Source organism: Homo sapiens, chromosome 12, assembly GCF_000001405.40.
Source record: "Homo sapiens chromosome 12, GRCh38.p14 Primary Assembly".
In the NCBI taxonomy this organism is placed as follows: Eukaryota; Metazoa; Chordata; class Mammalia; order Primates; family Hominidae; genus Homo; species Homo sapiens.
The window spans coordinates 107,095,590-107,113,325 of NC_000012.12; the positions used below are offsets into that span (position 1 = coordinate 107,095,590).

The following is a 17,736-nucleotide window of genomic DNA, read 5'->3' on the forward strand; positions in this document are numbered from 1 at the left end:
AAGTATATATCAGCCTTTCTTTGGTTCTGTAAGAATACTTTTAAAATTATATATATGAATGATATGGTTTGGCTGTGTCCCCACACAAATCTCATCTTCAATTGTAGTTCCCATAATCCACACGTGTTGTAGGAGGGACCCGGTAGGAGGTAATTTAATCATGGGGGCAGTTACCTTCATGCTGTTCTCATGATAGTGAGTGAGTTCTCACAAGATCTGATGGTTTTATAGGGGGCTTTTCCCCCTTTTGCTTAGCACTTCTCCTTCCTGCCTCTATGTGAAGAAGGTTGTGTTGGCTTCCCCTTCTAGCATGATGATCAGTTTTCTGAGGCCTCCCCAGCCATGCTGAACAGTGAGTCAATTAAACTTCTTTCCTTTATAAATTACCCAGTCTTGAGTGTGTCTTTATTAGCAGCATGAGAACAGACTAATATAGTAAATTGCTACTGGGAGGTGCTGCTATAAGGATACCCAAAAATATGGAAGCACCTTTGGAACTGGGTAACAGGCAGAGGTTGGAATGGTTTGGAGGGCTCATAGGAAGACAGGAAAATGTGGGGAAGTTTGGAACTTCCTGGAGACTTGTTGAATGGCTTTGACTAAATTACTGATAGGGATATGGACAATGAAGTCCAGGCTGAGGTGGTCCCAGATGGAGATGATCTTTTTGGGAACTAGAATAAAGGTGACTTTTGCTATGTTTTAGCAAAGAGATCTGTGAAACTTTGAACTTGAGAGAGATGATTTAGGGTATCTGGCAGAAGAAATTTCAAAGCAGCAAAGCATTCAAGAGGTGTCTTGGGTGCTGTTAAAAGTATTCAGTTTTATATATTCACAAATAATATGGCTTGGAATTGGAACTTATGTTTAAAAGGGAAGCAGAGCATAAAAGTTTGGAAAATTTGCAGCCTGACAATGTGATAAGAAAGAAAAACCTATTTTCTGAGGAGAAATTCAGACCAGCTGCAGAAATTTGCCTAAGTAATTTGGAGCCAAATGTTATTCTCCAAGACAATGGGGAAAACGTCTCCAGGGCATGTCAGAGGTCTTCACAGCAGCCCCTCCCATCACAGACCCAGAGGCCTAGGAGGAAAAAATGGTTCTGTGGGCCAGGCCCAGGGCCTTGCTGCTTTGTGCAGCCTTGGGACTTGGCGCCCTGTGTTCCAGCTGTGGTTAAAGGGGGCCAACGTACAGCTCAGGCCATGGCTTGAGGGTGCAAGCTCCAAGCCTTGGCATCTTCCACATGGTGTTCAGCCTTGACAGAAGTCAAGAATTCAAGTTTGGGAACCTCTGCCTAGATTTCAGAGCATGTATAGAAATGCCTGGATGTCCAGGCAGAAGTTTTCTGTGGTGGCAGATCTCTCATGCAGAACCTCTGCTAGGACAGTGCAGAAGAGAAATGTAGGGTTGGAGCCCCATACAGAGTTTCCACTGGGGCACTGCCTAGTGGAGCTGTGAGAAGAGGGCCACCATCCTCCAGACCCCAGAATGGTAGATCCACCGACAGCTTTCACCGTGCACCTGGAAAAGCTGCAGACACTCAACACCAGCCTGTGAAGGAAGCTGGGAGGGGGGCTGTGTCCTGCAAAGCCACAGGGGCATAGCTGCCAAAGAGGTGGGAGCCCACCTCTTGCATTAGCATGACCTGGATGTGAGACATAAAGTCAAAGGAGATCATTTTGGAACTTTAAGGTTTAATGACTGCCCTATTGGATTTCAGACTCATGTGGGGCTTGTAGCCCCTTCATTTTGGCCAATTTCTCCCATTTGGAATGGGTATATTTACTGAATGCCTGTAACTCCCTCCACTGTATCTGGGAAGTAACTAACTTGCTTTTGATTTTACAGGCTTATAGGTGGAAGGGACTTGCCTTGTCTCAGGTAAGACTTTGGACTTGGACTTTTGGGTTAATACCTGAATGAGTTAGGACTTTGGGGGACTGTTGGAAGGGTATGATTGTGTTTAAAAATGTGAGGACATGAGATTTGGGAAGGGTCAGGGCTGGAATGATATGGTTTGGGTGTGTCCCCACCCAAATCTCATCTTGAACCGCAGTTCTGATAATCCCCATGTGTTGTGGGAAGGATCCAGCAGGAGGTAATTTAATCATGGGGGCAGTTACCCCCTTTCTGTTCTCATGATAGTGAGTGAGTTCTCTTGAGATCTGATGGTTTTATGAAGGGCTTTTCCCCCTTTTGCTCGGTACTTCTCCTTGGTGCCTCCATGTGAAGAAGGGTGTATTGGCTTCCTTTTCCACCATGGTGGTCAGTTTTCTGAGGCCCCCCACAAGCCATGCTGAACTGTGAGTCAGTTAAACCTCCTTCCTTTATAAATTACCCAGTCTCGGGTACATTTGTATTAGCAGTGTGAGAACATACTAATACAATGAAAACCCTGGGGAGGATCCCCTGAGCCCAAGAGTTAGAGAGCAGCCTGGGCAACATGGTAACACCCCATATCTACAAAAGATACAAAGAAATTAGCCAGGCCTGGTCCAGCTACTAGGGAGACTGAGGTAGAAGGATTGATGTAGCTGGCAGATGGAGGCTGCAGTGAGCCAAGACCATGCCACTGCACTCCAGCCTGGGTGACAGAGTGAGACCCTGTCAAGAAAAGGAAAGGAAAGGAAAGGAAAGGAAAGGAAAGGAAAGGAAAGGAAAGGAAAGGAAAGGAAGAGGGAGGGAAAAGAAAAGAAAAGGAAAGGAAGAGGGAGGGAAAAGAAAAGAAAAGGAAAGGAAAGAAAAGGGAAGAAAGAAAGAAAGAAAAAGAAGGGGGAGGGAGGGAGGGGAAGGAAGGAAAGAAAGAGAAAGAGAGAGAAGGGGAGAGGGGAAGGGAAGGGAGGGGAGGGGAGGGGGATTAGGGAGGAGAGGGGGAGGGGAGGGGAAGAGGAGAGGAGGGGAGGGAAGGGAAGGGAAACCCTGTGTTCACTGTAAAGTGTTAAGCAAATATGGGTCATTTTTACTGATGAGGATAAGCCTTGGGTCATCACCACACTTAGCCTCCCCTCGCCTATGCAGCAGATCTGGTATACAGAGCTGTGCCTTCACTTGGATTGCTTCATTCTTCAGGGCCCATTATTGTACTTTTTAAAATACAATGTTTTGTGTTTCCTTTTAGGCAATTTGAAAGTAAGCAGATTGTGTCTAAAGACATAAGAATTGTTTTCAAGCATCCAAATGAAACAGTGGGAGGTGCAGAGAATATTGATTTGTATAGAGTTGACTTACGTTTGTGGATTTTTCATTCAATAAAAACAGGTTTTTTTTTTTAAACAGCTGTGTGGGGGTGTGTGTATAACTTTCATTTAAACATAAAATGCTAATTTATTATAAAAGTGTCAGTAGTGTCAACTGCACATTCCTCAAATACTGAAGGGTTTTTATGGCATATAAATGATTTAGGGGAGGAGGGTTACCATTTAATACTAGCTATGGCTTTTGAGCACCTACTATGTGCAAGCTTATTTGTATAGATTATTAATCCTAGTAATCTTAATTATGCAGTTTATTAATATTTAATAATTATTTAATAAGAATCTGTGCCCAGTTTGCTGTTGAAGAAACAGAAACTCAGAAACACAAATACATAGTCAAACCCGTTGAAAAACTAATACTGTTTTTGGATCCAAAACTCTTTCCTTAAAATATACCATCCCTCACTGACACACACACTCCCATTCTTTTCAGAGTGAATATTATGTATAAAGGGGGAAAGAAGAGGTGGAGGCCATTGTTAGGAATCATTTTTGAAATTCTGGTTGGCTCCAACATTGTGGTGGTAAGAGAGTACAGGACTAAGAGGAAGAGAGCAGTTTGTATCTCAGCTTGCCATTAAATTAGTTGATCATCTTGAACAAGTCACCCAGGTTTTCTTGGCCTAATTCATCTATAAAATGAGGGAACTGAACTACATGATTTCTAAGTTTTCTGTGCTATTTTAAAATTCTATGAACGTGACCCTGCTGTGAGCTCAGAAATATATGAGTCCTGTTAAAGGTTCTTTTAACTGCCAACAATGTTAGAAAAATCAATGTATCCTTGATTTCATGAACACTCTTGATAAAAGTGAGTCAGATCTCTAAATCAAAAGCCTGTGTTGTCTCTTGAACCCATCTTGCAGAGGTGATTTTTGGCATCTGTTAATACACAAATAATGAAGGAGTAGACAGTCTGTTCAGCTCGTTCAATCCTGATATGATGTGAATGTTGGCTGAGTATCCTTCACACTGGAGTCTTTGGGGGATTGAATTTAAATGTGTTAAAGGGTGATTTTTTTTTTAAGACAGGGTCTCATTCTGTTGCCAACGCTGGAGTGCAGTAGCATGGTCATAGCTCACTGTAATTATTTTTTAAAGGTAAGTTATGACTTTTTTATGAATATAAAATGAACATGTCAAAAATTTCACTTAACTCACTAATTAATGAAGGAACCCATATGATGTTACAATGGATTAAACGGAGGATCCAAAGAGCAGTTACACAGATAGGCCGTCATGCATTTAAAATGAATTTGCTTAATATATGTGAAACTGACTTCTTCCACAGAGGGGTAGGGGAATGGAGATCAATTGTACTTTCACAGGACAGCATTCATTTGCATGTCCAAGGACAGGATTCATTTGCATTGCTATCAATTATCTGCAATTTACAGAGTTATAAAATAGCTCAAATATAGCAAAAAAAAAAAAAAACTAAAATGATAGGCAGAGAATAACTTGAAGGGTACACTGGTCAAGAGACCTAGTAATCTTTTTCGACTATTTCAAGATCATCCAGAATTTTTTGCTAACTCTTCAGAGAGGTCCTCCATGTCTACCTATTCTTAAAAGGGTCTCTCTCTCTCTCTGTTTTTTTTTGTTTTTTTTTGTTTTTTTTTGTTTTTTTTTTAGACAAGGTCTCTGTCATCCAGGCCACGGAGTGGAGTCGGGTGATCATAGCTCAGGGTCAATGCAGCCTTGACCTCCTAGGCTCAAGTGATCCTCCTATCTCAGCCTTCTGAGTAGCTGGGACCACCACCATGCACCAGCTATTTTTTAACATTTTTTTAGAGATGAGGTCTCCCTGTATTGCCCAGGCTGGTCTCCAGCTCCTGGACTCAAGTGATTCTCTCATCTCAACCTCCCAAAGTGCTGGGATTACAGACATGAAACACTGTGCCTGGCTAAAAAGGGTCCCTTCTTATTCTTTATCATAGTTCTCTATTTACTTTTGTCGTGGCACCAATTATGATCTGTGTTTTTGTTTGTTTGTTTACTTATTTATTCTCAGTCAACCTATGCCTGCTCCAACCCCAAATGCAAACTCCAGGAGGGCAGAGTATTTGTTATATCATTACTACTTGCTACAATGCCTTGTGCTCAACTCTTAATCCATTGTTCTTCTAGAGGCCCTGCTAACACCCAATTGATCACATTTAACACTGCATTTCATCCATATATTAGTTATCAATTTATTGCCTCTCAGCTCCAAATTCATCTTTCATTACTTCCTCTCTGTTAATGGAACCAGGCCCTGTAAGGATTTCATCTTTGCCACTGGCACGATGCTAAACATTCTCAGTAGAGAGCATTGGAGGGAAACTACAGGAGGAAGGGGCTTCTCTTCCTAGTTCCGGTCTTTCTGTTTTCTTTTTCTTGTACTTATTTTGCCACTGACAAAGATGCCTTGGAGAGGGACATGCGGTAGCACTCACTTCTGTCAGGTTTCACTGGCATCTCTGCTGGTGGATCCAGTGAGTCTTGCGGGCATCCCCACAGTTGGCTACCCAGCCTCAGTCCACCTGCATTCTGGGAAGGTGTTTCCTATGGCCACTCCCATCCATGTTTTCTGCCCTCTGGCCTCTACCTGGTGAATGTAGACCCCACCTGAGCTCAGGGAAACGCAGCCAACTTCTTCATTATCCAGTGGCTACAGCAATACATTCTCCAATGAGATCCGAGTCCCACCCTTAGAGAGGATTCCCTGCACTCCCACTTCCAAGTTTGTCCTTTGTTGGGTATTCTCCCTCAGTACTTTTGAATATTCTTTAGAATTCCCCCTACACTTTTTAAATCAATCATCTGTTATAATTGATCATTCTATTTATTAAATATTTCCTGTTTGATTTACTGTGTGGTTTCTGTGTCTGATTGGACACTGATTGATATAGTCCATGAACTGACCTAGTCCACCAGAATGTACTTGTGAACAGTTCTCTTGTTCTTACCCTTTTTCTTGACCAGGTACTTTTAGAAAGTGTAAATAGTTACAAATGTGGCAATATGATATTGTGAAATATTAGCCAATGTTTTTTCCCCACAGATCTTTTTCTGTCCTGTGACCATCCCCATGCAGGTCATTGGATGGGAGTCTTTTCACCTCAGAGGGGCAGAACTAGAGGACAAAGGTAGTCCAGCATTTTTTTGTTCTAAATTCAAGAGCCTTGGTCCGGATGTAAATCAGAAAAGATTTGCTGCTTCCCACTCCTTCTCATAACACTGTATAAAAATCCTCCAGGCTGGGGTGGAATATGAGGGCAAGGAAAATAAGATTAAAATTATCTATCTTAACTAAAGTAAGAACAAAATATCTCATCTGCCTTTATCTAGGATTAGCTCCAGATGTCTAGATAAGTTTAGGGTGATCTGAGGGTAGAGGAGATTTGTGCCAGCTTCCCATCTGAAATCTGGAGGCTGAGTCTCATGGAAATTCCATGCCACTTTGCTATGGCTCAGCACAGTAAGCCTGTATGGGATGCCACTGGGCCTCAGAAGCCTGCAGGCTAAGAGAACAGGTGGACTTTTCTAGACTTTTCCTCATCTTTAGAGGGCCACAAAAATTACCTGAAAGACAAAACCAGATAACTAAGGGGTTATGCCAAGGGGACAGCATGGTACAAGGTGTCACAAGAGGTTGTGGCCAAAGACCAGATGGGGACATGGGCATCTCAACACATGCCAGCCTGGAGAGATAACATTTGAAGACCAGACAGGATCATACATTCAGCAAATGACAGTGTAGACAGGTAAGGAATGTCAGCCAGATCAATACCCTTCCTTTGTAAGGATGTAATGTTCCTTAAGCATCTGGGGACAGAGATGCTATCCTGAAGAGAAGCAGGAGACATCTCCTTAGATGTTTTTCAGAATTGATTGAATTTCAACGTGAAATGATCTAGAATTGACTAGCCCAGTTTTCAACCAGTGAGCAGACTGAGACTTTAAAATAGTTTAACTCTAGTTTAGCTCTAGAAAAATGAAGGCAGGCTGGGCACGGTGGCTCATACCTGTAATCTCAGCACTTTGGGAGGCCGAGGCAGGCAGATCACCGGAGGTCAGGAGATCGAGACCAGCTTGGCCAACATGGCAAAACCCCATCTCTATTAAAAATACAAAAATTAGCCAGGTATGGTGGTGCGTGCAGGTGGTCCCAACTACACGGGAGGCTGAGGCAGGAGAATCGCTTGAATCCAGGAAGTGGAGATTGCAGTGGCTGAGATCATGCCACTGCACTCCAACCTGGGTGACAGAATGAGACTCCATCTTAAAAAAAAAAAAAAAAGTGAAGGCATCTGATTTACAGACTGAAAAATATAGTAGTTGCTACTAAATCCAGCCAAATGTTGTAGAAACTCCAAAGACCTGCACAAGCTATCTGGCACTGCGATCTGGCCTGCCTCTGCATCCTCTTCGCGGCCCATCCATCTCTCTGGCTTCTACTCTTCCCACTCTCTTCTTACTCACTCCTTGCTCTTCCTCAAGCAGGCCAGCAATGCTCCCTCTGGCCTTGCTACTTCCTCTGCCTGGAATGTTCTTTCCCAAGACATTCTCATGCCTCCCTCCCTCATTGCCCTCAGGTGTCTGCCCCAGTATCACCTCCTTAGGGTGGTCTTCTTACCTGTCCACTGCATCTACACCCCTCATCCTTCTCTATTCCCTTTATCCCCTTGATTTTTCTTTACAGCACTCACCAGTATTTGATATTATGTTATATATTTGTTTGGTTACATGTGTCTCTCCCCACTGGAGTATTTATATTTGTTGATATTTATGTAAGTGAATATTTATTAAGTGAATGAATTGTTATTCACAATATTTATTATATTATTTATTTATTATTAATTAATTATTGTTAATAAATATTTATTTATTAAGTGAATGGTTAAATGTCCAAAATTCTCTAAATAATCTCCAAGATAAATTGAATCCTTACTATATGCCAGACACAGAACTACTCTATTAGGTACTTTGCTAAGTACCTTAGATAACATTACTTAATTTTTACAACAGCCCCTATGAGATAGATATTACTACTGCCATCTTATGATGAGAAAACTGAGGTCCAGAGTGGTTAAGTTCTCATAACTTGTCTTTGAAGCTAAAAGAGGCAGGATACAAAGCCAGGCTCTCCCAACTCCAGAGGCTGTGGGTTGCCCAGCATACTCTACTGCCTCCATTGCACTGGTATTTAGGTGCTTTTATATAGGTGCAAACCAAGGGCTATCAGAGCATGGGGGAAGGCAGAATAATTCTGGTTAAGACAAACCTGGGAAGGCCTTCTGTAGAAAGTAGCACTTATACTAGGCAAATTTAAAACATATTTTTTTTTGTTTAAAAAAAAGGAACAAAAAAGAAAGGATTCCAAAGGAGTAGATGGTTGTGCAACTTACGGCAATATATTTATTAAAAATGTTCATGTGGTGAAGTCGATATATGTAAGAAAAAGGTTGTCAAGTATAAATAGAAGATCTAATGAACAATGACAGTTACCTGGAGGGGTATTTTTTATAACTGCAATATCAACAGAGCCTGCTGGTAGGAAGCAGGGAAGAAATGGAAAGAAAGAACAGAGAGATGGCACTGAATCGTGCTGTGCATTACTCAGAGCTATCAAAGTGCTTCTATGGTGCTTAGCTCCGTGGTACTTGGGCATTTAGTGGGGACAAAACCAGCCACTCTTGGGGTTGTTGTATTGAGATGGTAATACTTGGAAGAGGGGTCAGGGTAGAGAAGTGGATTTAGTAGTTGCTTCGTGTATCAACCAAAGCCACACACACACACACACACACACACACACACACACACACACACACACAAACTGGTAGGAGCTCTTTGAAGAAAGAAAAACCCTCTGTCCTCAAAGCTAGATTTTTGTGTAAGAATAGTTAGTGGACAAGACCAATAGGCAAATTTAGAGAAGGCAAGGTACACATAAATGCTGATAGCGAGAACAGGCACTGCCCAGTCCACTACTTCCCTGGCCCACACCTCTCAGAGTCCCACGACAGCCAAGAAGTTGTCTGGTGACAGCCAAGAAGTTGTCTGGTGCTGGTGATGCCACCTGGAGGCTAGTGCAAGAAGTACAAGAAATTCCAGAAAAATCTATACAATACTTCAGCAAAGATGCACAATTAAAACAATAACGCTGATGGAAACATTTGGTTGGAACGAACCACTTAAAATGTACACAACTTAACCACAGTACTCACAAAAATAACAATCTTAGTAAAATGACAGCACAATTAAAAAGACAAGTTCTCATTAAAGAAACATAAAGCTTTACTTTTTAAAAGTGTTGCTAGCTTGATGCAAAGCGTATAAGAACAAGTTGAGCCTATTGATTTATGGAGATAAGAATGTAATAAACAAAAGTTGAGCATGACTCCACCTATGGCCAAATCAAGACAGGAGACAAACATGGGATGAGTCATGAGTATCCGGCACAGTATGGTTTTCCTCCGTGGCTTGCTGTGTTCATCTCTGCGGATCTACTTTGCCATTCACTGTTGTTTCTTAGTGGAATAAAACATTAATGTACTGGGTAAAATTGCATATGAATCATCAAAGCTTTTGCCTTTCACTGACATCATTTCTGTATTAACCAATAATCTATAAGCTAATTTGCATAACATAAATATCTTTTGTAGTAGAAGAGCCTGTAAGTCACTTTCCCTCCACAGGGCTCAAGAGGATCCTGACCTCCTGAGCATTCAGCATCCAACCCCCACCAGTCCCTTCACCTGCCCGCCCCCCCACACCATTTCCTCCAGTCTTTGCAACTTAAACAAGCTCATGATCACTCCTGTTTAACTGATGTGAATCTCAGTCTCCAAATCCTGATGTTGAGAAAATTTATTTTCTAAAAATCAACTTAATTTTTCATGCCATGCCCCTAGTCTGCCAGGCTGGTAAGAAACTGACCTCAGTCATTTTTTTGAGTTTCCCTTTTACTTCCTGGGAGTCATCAGACTATGCGGCCCCATGCAGTACCCACATTTTGGGGGCCCTCCGTCTGTTCCTACTGGCCTCTGCACAGATGGCCACTCTCCTATATGGTCATTTCAGATCTGGGTGGCTATCTGCTGATTTTGTGTGTTAGTTACAGAATCATGGTTCATTTTGTTCTTGCTGCTGGGATCTCTCCCTCACCTGGCCATGTTGCTGCCTCCCTAGTCCACCCCCTGCCTCTCTGAGCCTTGCCATTTCTTTGGGACACTGCCACCAAGAGATGTCTGGGACTCCTACTCCTCCTCCATTGCTGGGGACAGCTCTCCTTAATCTCTGGTAATCTGGATACCACTTCTTGCATCTCTGAGACACTTTACTCTTTACTTCTGCCTTCACTTCCTCACCTCCTTCCTATCAGTTAACAATCTTTGGGTTGTAAGCTACAGAAAATGCATCTCAAACTGACTTAAAAGAAAGTATATTGGCTCAAATGACTGCAAATCTAGAAGTGGGGCTTGTTTCAGGCTGCGATTGATTTGGCCAGTCAAATTTTTTTATAGCAATATATTCCTATGTTCCAGGCCATGTTCTGGGCACTGGGGATACAGTGGTGTGCAGGTGGATTCTCTGGCCCCCAGTCAAATTACCATATGGTGCAGAGACAAGCTGCCTCTTCCAAGCCCTGCCCAAATTGCATATTTATGAGCAAATCAGTGATTGTTGCTGTTTTAAGCCACGCAATTTTGGAGTAGCTTGTTACACAGCAATGTTATGTGAACACCACCTGTGAGTATAGGGACAATGGAATTTTCCCTGTTCTTTTGGGAAGTTTGATGTTTGAGTCCGAGAAATAAACTGACAATAGTCAGATTAATAGGAGGAAAGACATACAAACTTATCAATATGCACATGGACATGGGAGTCCTGCAATTATAAGACTCCAAGAAGGCCATATGACTGCAGTTTTTATACCAGACAGAAGGAAAGAGGGGCTTGGAACATGGTGACAGGTTATGGAAGGGTGAGGGGAGGAAAGGCATGGTGAGCAAAAGCTGTCCTGGGATGCAGGTAAAGCCTCCCAGGTCGCAGCCCTAAGAAAGAATAGATGGCACCCTGTGGAAAGTTTCTGTAAAAGTGTCAGACCTCTAAAAGGGTCAGACTTTTAGCCTCCGTTTCCTGAGTGTTAATCTTTCCTGGATCCAGATAAGGGGACTTCAGAGAACACCTCTACATTGCTGTTTTCATCACTAAGGTAGATATCCTCCACAGATGCAAATCTCCCCTACAAAGGACAGCTTTCCAGAGCCATTCTTGCCTCTGCAGCCCTGCTGAACAGCCATCTTGAATATGCCAAAGATGCATATTTTAGGGTGGCATATTTTGGTTTCCCACATGAGCCCAAAAGAAATCCTAGTATTTATCAATAAATATAAGATTAATGCTAATGAAACACTTTTTATCAAGAATAAGGAAAGGTATATACTTTGAAATTAGATAATAATAACAACAAGAGTATTTCCCCTGCTCTAAATCACATTGAACAACCTTCCGCAGGTTCCTCACCCTCTGGCTTCCACATAGGTTTGGCCCCCGGGAGGCACTGGCATTAGACTGGAAGGCAGGAGGAGAGAAATCAGGGTTTACCTCCACCCACTGCCCTCAGTGCCACAGCTATTTCAGTGACATCATTTCTGGCAGCGGCTGTGATTCCTCTATGGTTCTGAGGAAGAAAGATAAATTTTGGGGTCTCCAAATCACTAAACTAAAAGGGAAAGGTCAAGCTGGGAACTGTTTAGGGCAAACCTGCCTCCCATTCTATTCAAAGTCATTCGTCTGCTCACTGAGATAAATGCATATCTGATTGCCTCATTTGGAGAGGTTGATCAGAAACTCAAAAGAATGCAACCATTTGTCTCTTATCTGCCTATGACCTGGAAGCCCCCTCCCCTCTTCGAGTTGCCCCACTTTTCCAGACTGAACCAATGTATATCTTACACATATTGCTTGATGTCTCATGTCTCCCTAAAATGTATAAAACCAAGCTGTGCCCCTACCACCTTGGGCACATGTCAGGACCTCCAGAGGCTGTGTCACAGGCGTGTGTCCTCAACCTTGGCAAAATAAACTTTCTAAATTATCTGAGACCTGTCTCAGGTTTTTTAGGTTCACAGTTCTATTACCTGCTGGACAGCCCCTCTCTCAGGGGTACCAGTTCCTGCCTAGTCAAGACAATTGGCTGTGACAAGACCATTTCGTTCTTTTGTTCCTCCAGGCCTAAGGATGGGAGCCACTTTCTGCTGTTGATGATCTCTGGGTTGTCTCACTAAACTGCTGGGCTTCTTTGTTCTTCCAACACTAGTTTTCTTTGTTATTTTTCCTTTGTTTGAAAGACTTAACAAGGTTCCTATTTCCTAGCTTGACCGTGATTGATTCAATCACTAACATTTATTGTGTATTCTAGGATCAATCCTATTAGAAAGCTACTATTAGCATCTCCATTTTCCAGATGAGGCAGCTAAGGCACAGAGAGATTAACCTATCTAAGATCCCACGTTTATATTCAGTGCTACTCACATCTACAAACAATGAAGTACCATTATAAATTAGTATTATTTATTATTATTTTGGTGGGGGTGGGGTCTTGCTCTGTTGCCCAAGCTGAAATGCAGTAGCACAATCATAGCTCACTGCAGCCTCAACCTCCTGGGCTCAAGTGATCCTCCCACATCAGCCTCCCAAGTAGCTGGGATCACAGCTGTGTGCCACCACACCTGGCTAATTTATTTTTTAGACATGGGATCTCACTATGTTGCCCAGGCTGGTCTCGAGCTACTGGGCTCAAGTGATCCTCCCACCTCAGCCTCCCAAAGTGCTGGAATTATAGGTATGAGCCACCACACTCAGCCTAGAAATTATTTTTTTTAAATTAAAGTTGAAAAAACATAGTATTCACTGTCAGGGGACACAAAGGGGACTTCTCGGGTGCTGGAGTCTTCTGACCTGGGGGTGGTTACATGGGAGTGCTCACATTGTGAACATTCATCAAACTGTGCATTTAGGATTTGGACACTTTTCCATATGTTAGATTTCAATAAAGAGTTTACTGTTCATATGTGTCAATTTTGAAAGCTTCAGAAATCTTCATTTAACTCTTCATTAAACTTGGTTTTCTCAAACACTGACTTTCAAGATACACTATTTCTTTTTTTAATTTTGAAGATTAGAGTTCTGATTTCAATTCAATTCTACGTTACAGTTTTTGTAGATCAGTTACGTGACAGACACGTGCTAGGAGTTCGGACTCTAACAGTAAACACAAACATAGCCCACGCCCTAGTGGATGGAGCCCAGTGGGGAAGACAACACTGAAAGCGAATTGTAACCTGGATGTAGGTCCTACCCAGAAGAAAGATCATAGGAATACAGGAGGTTATAAAAAAAGGAGTTAGTCCAAGCCTAAGCGGAACTGAAACTAAGACTTGAAGGTTAAAGGTAAGGGGAGGGGGGACTGGCACAAGAAACAAGGGTAAAATCCAGCAAGCAGAGAGAGCAGGAAGTGAAAGGCCATTGAGGAGTAGGGAGCAAAGTGGGAGATGGTAGAAGGGAAGGCTCGTGGCACAGCAGTCAGATAAAGCAGGCCCACACAGGCTGTGATTCAGAAATAAATTTTCCAGTAGAAAAACACTATCATTGGTTACCAATGGCTCTCAGGCCTGCCTGCAGAGAAGTACTAGGAAATGAAATCTACATTCAGGGATTCTCCTGGGGACATCAGGGTGTCAGAAATACTTTTTTTTTTTTTTTTTTTGAGATGGAGTCTTGCTCTGTCGCCCAGGCTGGAGTGCAGTGGCGCGATCTTGGCTCACTGCAAGCTCCACCTCCCAGGTTCATGCCACTCTACTGCCTCAGCCTCCCAAGTAGAAATATATATATTTTTTTGTTTTTAATGTAGCAGTGAGATGAGATCCTACCAAAATCCCTTACCACCACCACCACCACTACACTAGGGGCAGAGGTGACAGCAAATTGAGGATACAGGGGGAGGCAAGGGCTTATGGAGCAGGGAATCCACGTTTGGGTTATGATTACTATTGTCAGAGGTGTTTGAACCAGAATGACTCCGTCTTAAATAGGGGCTGGGTAAAATAAGGCTGAGACCTACTGGGCTGCATTCCCAGGAGGTTAAGACATTCTTAGTCACAAGATGAGACAGGAGGTCGACACAAGATACAGGTCATAAAGACCTTGCTGATAAAACAGGTTTCAGTAAAGAAGACGGCCAAATCCCACCAAAACCAAGATGTTGATGAAAGTGACCTCTGGTCGTCCTCACTGCTCATTATACGCTAATTATAATGCATCAGCATGCTAAAAGACTCCCACCATCGCCATGACAGTTTACAAATGCCATGGCAACGTCATGAAGTTACCGTACATGGTCTAAAAGGGGGAGGAACCCTCAGTTCTGGGAATTGTCCACCCATTTCCCAGAAAACTCATGAATAATCCACCCTTGTTTCGTGTATAATCAAGAATTAACAGTAAGTATAAGCAGCTGGGCAGCCAATGCCGCTGCTCTGTCTATGGAGTAGCTACTCTTTTGTTTCTTTACTTTCTTAATAAAGTTGCTTTCACTTTACTCTGTGGACTTGCACTGAATTCTTTCTCGTGCAAGAGCCAAGAACCCTCTCTTGGGATCTGGATTGGGATACCTTTCCAGTAACACAATCATGTCTCTGCTCCTAAGCATAAACTCAATACACTGCCAGCTCCTTTCCTCTCTCATTACACACAGATGAACACCATCTTCCCCTTGTACCTGGGGAATACTTTCCAATTCCTGCTTTAAACAGAATGAAGTCTCACAGAGTTCCTTGGACTTCAGCCCTTCCTTGAAGCAAACCCATGTCATCAGTAAGACTTTAAGATTGTACAGATAGCAAACAAAGACAAAAATATGAGGATATGCTCCATTCATCCAAGCAGTAAAAAGATTAACTGAATCCAATTAAAGTGGTGAAGCAGTATGGGGGACGGGGTGGGTTGCAGACTCAAATAGAAACAAAGAATTAGATAATGATGTAGCTTAAGCCCAGAAGGTGGGTTCACAAAACCCACCATTTTTACTGGAAAGGTTTGTACTTGAAGTCTCCAGTTAAAGTAAGTGACTAATTTTTCAAAAGGCCAAATGCATCCATTTTTGATGCTGAAAAAATCACCCTGGAATTCACATGCTGCCTTGGGCCAAATATCTCTGACAAGAAATAAATTCAACTTGCTTGGGATAGGAGGTGCAACTCATTTTGAGATGATATAATTATTCCCTTAGTTATAGTGTATACATGAATTTTAGTTTTGGGAAGATGTAGAATTAAATATTGAAAAATCAAGAGACCAAATTCACAATATTAATACTTATGTATTAAATTTAGAAACAATCTGTGTATATTTCACATTTACAGTATTTATAATGTTTAAAATAATTGGGTGTGTGAGAATATCTGAGAGACTAAGCTTCTAATTCCAACTTGAAATATGTAGTGAAGTAATTGACTTTAGATTTGCAGTTTATTGCTGAAAGGTGTAAGAGGATTTTATGGTTTGCAAACAGTATGGTATTGAAATGTTTGAGATTCATTATACTGTATTTATAAATTTAATTTAGTCTGTAAGTGCTTGGGAATGTTTTGCTTGTCAGGGTAGGTGATTAATGTGCTTAAAAAAAGAAAATTGAAAATGTTGAATTTATGAATGCAGTTTACAATGTTTTAAGGGAAATTTAATTAAACTAAGCTTGTAAACAGAGCTAGTTGAAGGGAGTTTAGTTTGTTCAACTTGAGACTATTAATCAAAGCCCCCTTATTACAATGTGCTAGACTTACTAATAGAATAATAAGACTTACTGAACTTAAGAGGCTTAAGGGAAACTAGGCTTTAAATTTTATTATTTTAATAAGTTAAATATTAGCTTAAAAATAATATTTTTCGTACATCACACCAAACTTTCACCTCTTCCACCCTCCTCCATGGATACCACGCTAAAAGAACAGTCTTTTAATATTTTCTACGAGCTTTTACTACTAGCAAGATTGGTAAGAAGGGGGAAAAGAAGGTTCCTGGCCTTGATGAAATTCAATAGTGCAGGAGAAAAAAATTAGGAGAGTGGAGAAGGAAAGAGAATACTTAAGACCATGAAGCCAATTTAGTTTTGCCTAAGGGGCCATTTATGTATATGGACACACATTTGTTGTAACTGAATGGTGAGGGCTCCCTTAAATAATGTAACAGTATTGTTATTCAGTTCAAATGTAATTTAATTCAGCTACAATATGAATTAAGTAGTTTTGGGGAACTAGCCTGGAAACTAACCATTGACAAAACTGTTCAGATTGGAACAAAATTCTACAGCATTTTTGAACTTTTAAGGGTCAACATTTGAAAGTTTGATGCTAAATGTTGACTTTCACAAATGAGAGAAAAATGCAAGAATATCCAGGGTAAGTATTGGGAATTAGCTACAAATGACTTTCCCTTTCCCTGAAAGATAACAATGCATAGTTTTGTATAGAGCCCACTTTACAGAGTATGATAGTGAAGATATGTTTATCTTGCTGCTTTCATTGCAGCTTTAAAGGACCATAACTAATTTTAAGGGGCATTAATGAGTGTGGCAAGGTGATATTGGGAAGTATTAACTAACATTTTTTCTCACCTCCTTCAAAAAATCCTTTGAATATTTTCATGCTTACCATGAGGTATAGCCCCTCGAATAGACTGCACCACTTCAATTGCCTCAGAAGGAAGTAGGCACATCAAGATCAATGAAGCACAGTCTTGAAATTCTTGGTTCTTAGGCAGAAGCAAAACAGACAAGAAACAAGCAAACAAAAAGCCTGAACACGTTTCCAGGTGTGAGGGTAAAAGACTTGGATAATTACTGTTGAGCTACTGTGATACGTGTCTTCCAGTTATGCAAAATTATTCCATGAGCAGAGGGATAGAAGGGGGACCACCAACAGAAGAAGAAGCTGGACAAGAAACCAGAGTGTTACATTCTGGTAGGATCTCTGAGATTAGCTAAAACCAGGTGGGGGAGAACTTGGATCAGCCCTTGGGAAGAGGGAATGAAGAAGGCAGAGGGGAAAATTCAAAATTAACTGAGTTTAATCCTTACATATGTTTGGGGAACTCAAAGGGAAAGAGCTTGCGCTCCATTTTCTGCTGGAACCCTGGGAGGTAGGAGCCTCTTGGAACTGCCCTGTTTAGCATGGTAGCCACTACCACTTGTAGCTATTGGACCCTGGCCATGTGTCTAATCCAAATTGTGATGTGTTACAAGTATAGAACACACCTGATTTTGAAGTCTTAGTATTAAAAAAAGAAAGTAAAATATCTCGTTAATAATTTTATAGTGATTTCATGTTGAGATGATAACATTTTAGCTATTATTGCAGCAAACAAAATGTATTACTAAAATTAATTTTACTCTTGGCCAGGTGATCAAGGTCAACAGCAACAGTCGTAAATTATG

At 41.5% G+C, this 17,736-nt stretch overlaps 1 long non-coding RNA gene across 1 annotated transcript; it reads left to right on the forward strand.

Moving 5' to 3' along the window:
- The first annotated feature begins 1,846 nt into the window (after positions 1–1,846).
- On the forward strand, positions 1,847–3,273 carry LOC124903009 (uncharacterized). Its single transcript, XR_007063445.1, has 2 exons — positions 1,847–1,881; positions 3,119–3,273. It is a non-coding gene; the product is annotated as an uncharacterized LOC124903009 (long non-coding RNA).
- The last annotated feature ends 14,463 nt before the right edge of the window (positions 3,274–17,736 follow it).